This window comes from Homo sapiens, chromosome 4, assembly GCF_000001405.40.
Source record: "Homo sapiens chromosome 4, GRCh38.p14 Primary Assembly".
Taxonomy (NCBI): domain Eukaryota; kingdom Metazoa; phylum Chordata; class Mammalia; order Primates; family Hominidae; genus Homo; species Homo sapiens.
Genome location: NC_000004.12, coordinates 12215754 through 12223332, shown reverse-complemented (window position 1 = coordinate 12223332; position 7579 = coordinate 12215754).

Sequence of the window (7579 nt, the reverse complement as noted above, 5' to 3'; positions counted from 1 at the left end):
TTATTTTCCTATTCCAATACTTACATTTCTTGGAATCATCTCTTTATTAAACGACTTGTACTCAAATCCTTGTTTGAGCGCCTGCTTCTAGGGGAACCCAAATAAGACAATCAAGGGCATGGCATAGAATAAGCATTTGGCAAATGTTACATTCTATTCTATGATTACTACTTCTAAACTATTTACATTAACAATTCATAGTATGCTTTTCACGTGATTCACCTTCCATACATCGAAAGAAGACGAGCCTGGAAGTATAGTAAATCCTGTATAGAAAATGGAGAAAAGTAAAGGCTTACAATTCTAATTATCTAATGATGACAGTGCTGTCAATGAAGCTGCCAAAACTACTGTCAGGGAAAATGGAATGTCCCTTTTGTTACATGAAGAAAAGAAAGGCCCAGGGTACATAGTACATACCAAACAAGTTAGTTCTCATAAATATTTCCAGTAGTTCCCAGCTTCTTGCCATTTGTGTATTCTACATTTGAAGCCAAAAATACTAATTCATCCATTGAATATCTGCTCTGGAATGTCATCTCTCATACTGGTTTCTCCTACAACACCATGTATTTGTTATACACCATGTAATGACTAGCATGACTAGACTGTTCTTCATTCATAACTATATTCAATCGAGCAAAAGGTAATTGATAATTCTTATAGTGAATTACAATGATATGTAAATATTATGATTTACTAACTTCTTTTACATCCATTCTCCCATTACAGCCTTTCAACTGTGCTATGAAGCAGTATAGGTGTGTATTAGTAGACTCATAAAACAGATGAAGAACCCATGATTTAGAGAAAATAAATTATTTACTCAAATGCCTAGTCAGAATGTTGAGTCCTTGAACTGGATGTAACATTTTTTAAATTATATTACTCCTTTTAGAAAACTGACTTAAATCGTCTAAGAACCTATCTAATACTAGTTAAACAATGAGTACAAAGTTGTCTAAAAGTTTTAAACACACATAGATTCAACAAACTTTAACCTTTCTGACCCTGACCTCCAGATCCAGACTGAGTTCAATGCCGATATTCTTACTTAACACTCCTGTCACACCATCTTTTTCTGGCCTGTACCTTGCAGTGTTTCCACTTGTTCATGCCAGGTGGAGTAAGACAGAGACCATAGTTTGTTTGCACATGGTGGTATACCAGTTGTCTGGGGCAGTGCCTGGTACTGAAGTAGAGGATTTCTAAATATTTGTAAAATGTATTACAGATTAATCATTCTGCACATGTGCCACTTTTCTTGTATGGAAGTGCTGATTTATGAATATGTTTTCAAAAGCAATTATAGTTTCCCAACAAGTATCTACTGTTATGCCTACTTCCATTATAACCGAAATAAGGTTAAGAAAATGTTTTCTGTTAAGGAAGAAAGTATGCCCAGTGCTTATGAGATCAATGGGACTGTGTATTGTTGTAGAAAGTGACTCTGTGGTCAAAATACTAATTTGAATTCCCAGTCTGCGTTTCTACTTTTCTACTGTAAAATGTTGATAATGTAACAAAATTTAGGAGTTTCAGTTTCATTTTCTGTAAAATGAAAAATGATATTAATTTTTGTTGGGATTAGAATAAAATGTATATTAAATGACTTCGCATTAAAAGCATTCAGTAAATGGGGCAATTATTCTTTGATCTTCATGTTTGATCTTTCTTCATAGTATTTATAAACTAGCAAGTCTGTTGGTTTATATGACTATTGTCTGTCTCATCCCCAGCCAGAATGGAAGCTCTGTGGCAATAGAGACTGTTGTATACACTGCTAATTTCCTAGTTAGAACAGTGCCTGAGACAGAGTAGGTGGTTAATTACTATATATTGACTGGAAGGATGTCACGATTTTATAAGTTGGTGACTCATTAGGCATGCTCACTCTACGCCAAAAGACATGGATAAATTTGAAAATATCATTATGCTTTATCCAGCCAGGGTTGGACTTTATACTGTGAAAATTCACAGGATTTTAGGTCTCCTGGAGTTGAGTTAAGATCACAATGACTCGTCTTTTGATGAATCTCAAAGTGCACAGGATAGTCGTTACTCAGGGAACTTTCTACTTTGGACACTTCTGCATTGCCCATTTTCTTTTTAGGGCACAGTTACTCATTCTACAAGACACACTTTAAAATGAAGAAGCTGGGGCTGGGTGTGGTTGTGTAATTTCCCCAAAGGTACCCAGCTAATTAACAACAAAGCTTGATTCAAAACCAGTCTCTTGATTAAGATTTGTGCTCCTCCTATTCTGCCAACCAGGTGTGAATTAGTAACAGAGTATTTTTAAAAAATAGTATGTGTGTCAGTCACTAGTATTTCAAGTACTCTGGGAATCTGCTTAAATATAATTCTTAGGGTAACTTCCTTTTTCCTTCTTCCCCAGTTTTTTCTCTTTTGTTTATGTATTTTGTTTATTTTTATCTCTTCATATCTCTTGCTTTTTGAATGGTACCTTAAATGACAAGTTTTCATTTTTATGAAAAAATATTTTCTTCAATTGAATAGAATAATCTTGATAAATACTCACTCAACAACACTAATAATTTATTATAGCACTTCTGCAATGACAATTCAAAATTATACATATCTCATGTGCAAACACAAGTAACTTATGATCATATTTACATAGTTCATACATAAGCAGGGAACAACAAAAAGAAACTGTAATTTATCACTATGCCTGTGGCCAATATGTTGAGACACAGCTTTGTGTTTTGAAAATCACAATGTGTATTTTTAGAGCATATCTAAAAAGTGTGTTCCCCTTCTAATAAACTTTATCCATTCTTAAGGCAACATTCACTTACAAATATTCTACATTTTCTCCTCTAAAGTTGCAGAGGTTTTTTTTTTTTTTTTTCAACATGAAAATCTCATTTCCATAAGAAAAAGGCAGCTGTGTTCCTAATATAGAACTGAAACATGACTGCTTTAAAAGTGGGCCCTGACACATTGATTCAAACTTTTCCCATCTTCACTTGTTAGCCATTCAGTGAAAAGGCAGTGATGGATTATGGAAAATGTAAGAAGTACTAAAAATATATTTTTCACCTAAGCACACTGTTTTCTTAAAAATAAAAAAAGCAAAATAGTGAAACAGTTGTCTTTACTCAGTACTATTTTTTCCCTATCTTTTTTTTCATTTATTTTTCTATAACTGAATCTTCATTCCAGTTGAGATTTTCATCATGTTTCACAGTCTCTAATGGAACCAGCTTGACCAAGCTCACTTTGAAAATTGAATTTCAGAGGGTAAATTCATTATAAATTGAAATAGGACATTCTAATTAAAATGAATACTTTTCAAAGGAATCATCGATATTTCCCAGGTGATCCTTTCTTGCTGCCCTTATTTCTCTTCCATAGTACATATTTTATAGATGCTTTAAAGCTGTAGCTCAAATTAATACATCTGTGCACCAATACTTGGTGGAGCTATTCATTCTTAACTGTAAATAATTTTGGAGTATTAGAAATGACACAGGCAACTTTGAATAAAACTCATTCATTTTACAAAAGAGGAAACTGAGGCCTATAGAGGGAAACATGAATTTTTGTTTGAGAATATCTATATTTGAAATTTTGTAGTTCTGATAATATTAAGGAGGATGACCATAATAATGTTATGGCTGTTTGACTGCAATTCAGGATAAAGCAATCAAGAAAAACATCCAAGTGAATTCTATTGACTAGCACACTCATCCATCTGAAATTGACTTCATAGGCAATGCATATCAATTAAAGAATGCAGGGAATAAATCATTTTCTTTTCTTTGTTGGGAGTTATTTAAGTATTATTATTAGAAGCCAAGTTATTGCTAAGTAGCTTCACAGAATTAATTCTTGAATATATATATACATATAAGTTATTTGATGCTCAGTCTTAAATATCATATAATATATATACATATGTATTAATGTGAATATATAACTATATTGTATATATTAATGAATATATAACTATATTCATATGCATTAGTATGACTATATATAATTATATCCATATATGATATGAATAATATTTGTATATATTAACATGAATATATATAATTATACCTATATATTAACATATACATAATATGAATATAAATATATTCAACTCATAAGAGTTCAAATAATGAGGATAAACTGCCCAGAGCTTCACAGTAATTATGTAGCAGAATATGAATGTCCAGCAGCTTCTAACACTGTAGGAACAGCACTTGATGACTTGCCCCTATTTAGGGGTCAAAACTAATTGTTTTGTCCTTATATTGGGACAGAATGTGGGGGTTGTTCCTATATTGCTGCTTTAAAAATAAATCTAAAATATGGACTTTATTTGAATTGAACAATTTTTCCATTAATGTCCCTTATCGTTCTAGGATTTAATCCAGAATCCTACACTGAATTTAGATATCATATATCCCAGCTTTTTTTTTGTCTGAGACAATTTCTTCGGTTTCTCCTTGCTTTTCACGACTTTGAGATATGTGAAAAGTATCTATCAGTTATTTTGTCAAATGTCCCTCATTTTGGATTTGCTCAAAGTTTTCTCATAATTAGATAGAGGTTGTACATTATTGGGAATGATACCAGAGAGGTGATGAGTCTTCCTCATAAAGACTAATTTTCAAACAGTAACCAAACCAGTTTCTGAAGCTTTATCTAAATATTTCAGATGGATCATTCTTTATTTTTCTCTGAGTGCCATCTGACGTTTTATCTTCTAGTTTTGGGAGAGATTAATCTCAATTACATATAAGGAAACTGAGGCCCAAGAAGATGACAGGACTGAGCATCACATAACTCATGAACAGATTTATGCCTTAAATTTCTTTCTTCAGAGCTTTAGCTCACGGACTCCCCAGCAAAGTTCACTGTGAAAACTTTAGAGCCTCATGACCTCAGGGTGTCCTAATAAGATTCATGTGAACTCAACATTTTCTTTCATTTCCAGCCACAAGGCCCTAATTAGACATGTCACTTTACAGCTTCATATGTAAGATTCATGAAGAATGTTTCCTCAGAAATTCACCATCAGTGCATTGGGCTTCTATCTTCTTTCTTCCTCTGCTCCTAGGGAAATTTTGTCTCCACATGGCCATGAGGGAAATGAGTGCTTCTTACCCTAATTGGAATAAGGTACGCCACCACTCAGAGTTGAGCATTCTTGGTGTGTCTTCTCTATAAACCTGACTCCTGAATAATGATTTGGCTCTGCAAAAATTGGTGCCTTGGAACCCTGCTGAGGTGCTGCCATCAAAACAGAAAAAAAAAATCAAACGTTACTCTGAATGGAGTCTTAATAACAGTTGGAAACTTCAGCCTCCTGCCTATAATTTATTTACAACGAATCTTTTTGAAGGGAACTATCTTGGAGAATTCTATGTGGCTTTGATGTTTGCAAAAGTAACCCTGTAAAGACAGATGGGAAGAAGATGCATAGAAACACAGATAGATACACCTACAGGTAGAAAATAAAACAGATTAAAATAAGAAATCTGTCCAGTAACTCGTATATGAGCTTTTCGTTCTTACATTTTTCCTATGACCAAACCCCTACCTTGACCCTAGTCACTGTTTAATCATCTGTGGCCAGTGTTTTAGCATAAGTTCTTCCATAGACACTTTTAGAAAAGGATTTTAGAGAAAGTAGATTTTGTTCTGGGGGAGAGGGTTTTGATGTTCAGAGTATGATCCAGAGAAGGAAATACAGCTAATAAAGGGTACGTTACAGACGGAATTGTGTTCCCCAAAATTCATATGTTAAAATCAGATTCCCGACGTGACTGTGCTTGGAGACATGGCCTTTAAGAAGAAAATTAAAGTTAAATGAGGTCATAAGGGTGGGGCTCTATACTACAGGACTAGTCTTTATAAAAAGAGTAAGAGACCAAAAAGAGACCTCTCTCTCTCTCATTCTGTGTGTGTGTGTGTGTGTGTGTGTGTGTGTGTGTGTGTGTGTGTGTGTACATGTCCACAGAGGAAAGGCCATGTGAGGACACAGCAAGAAGCTGGCTGTCTGCATGCCAGGAAGAGTGGCTTCATCAGAAACCATCCCTGCTGGCGCTTTGATTTCAGATTTCTTGGCTCAAGAACTGTGAAAAAAATAAATGTCTGTTGTTTAAGCCACCCAGTCTGTGGTATTTTCTTATGGCAACCGGAGCTAATTCAGGGTACATCATTAATCCAGCTATCACAGTGGGCAACTGAAGTGCAATTTCCCTGGGGAACTTCAAGAATTGCTGCGCCTAAGATTTGCTTCTTCCCAAGGGATGAGGAATGTTTCTACATCAACTGGAATATCTCTACCCCAACTCCTAATAGGCGTGGGCTAATGACTACTCCCATGGGTCATTAATTTCCCCAAAATTTCATTCAGAGGCACAGTGACTATCTGCAATTTTGGAAAGAAAGGGAGACCTTAAGAATGCATGCAGATATTTGCAGTTGGAAGCAAGTATGAGCGTAGTGAAAGGGGCTGTGGAAACAAGCAGGGCTCTAGCAGTGCCTCCCACACCCAAGAAATAGACTCTACTCTTAATTCTAGGAGAGTTTTTGCTTCTTAGTTTATCCTACAGGGAACAGGATGCCAGAAAACTGTAGTGTGTGTGTGTGTGTGTGTGTGTGTGTGTGTGTGTGCGCGTGCGCATGTGTACATATGTGATGTGTGTGCATGTGTGTATATTTGCACACAATATATGTGATATATTACCACATTGCTCCAGGATAAGGCTAAAAATGAGGTCATACTACCACTAATAGACTTTATTGAGCTCTCAGGTCCACCTGCCTTCATTATCTCCAGCCCCAGCAACATCCTCATCTACTTTATGGCAAATTCACAGAGTGGTTCACAGATTCTTATGAGTGTTCTGTCCCTAATACAAACCAACCATCATGCCCTTCTCTTCTGCATTCCATGGCTTTGGTAAGAGCTTTTTTTAATTATTATTATACTTTAAGTTCTGGGATACATGTACAGATCATGCAACTTTATTACATAGGTATACATGTGCCATGGCGGTTTGCTGCACCTATCAACCCGTCCTCTAGGTTTTAAGTCTTGCATGCATTAGGTATTTGTCCTAATGCTCTCCCTCCCCCTGGCAGGCCCCGGTGTGTGATGTTCCCCTCCCTGTGTCCATGTGTTCTCATTGTTCAACTCCCACCTATGAGTGAGAACATGCGGTGTTTGGTTTTCTGTTCCTGTGTTAGTTTGCTGAGAATGATGGTTTCCAGCTTCATCCACGTCCATGTAAAGGACATGAACTCATTCTTTTTGATGGTAAGAGTTTTGACTGAGGCCTGATGCCTTTGAAACTACGATGATGTACTTGCTCAAAAGCAGTTTCAGAAGCTGTCCACGGGATCTGCTCTTCTTCAAATCAGCATTTACATTATCTGCATCTTTCCTTCTTCCCCTGACTCTGTTACCTAAGCACCATGATGTTACAGTAACATAAAACGTGGACTTCGTCACACCACAGTTGTAAGTTACTGCAAAAGCCCTTTACATATACTTTTAAAATCAAATACAAAATGGTATAAAGTGATAACACTTTAACTTTTTAAAAATCAG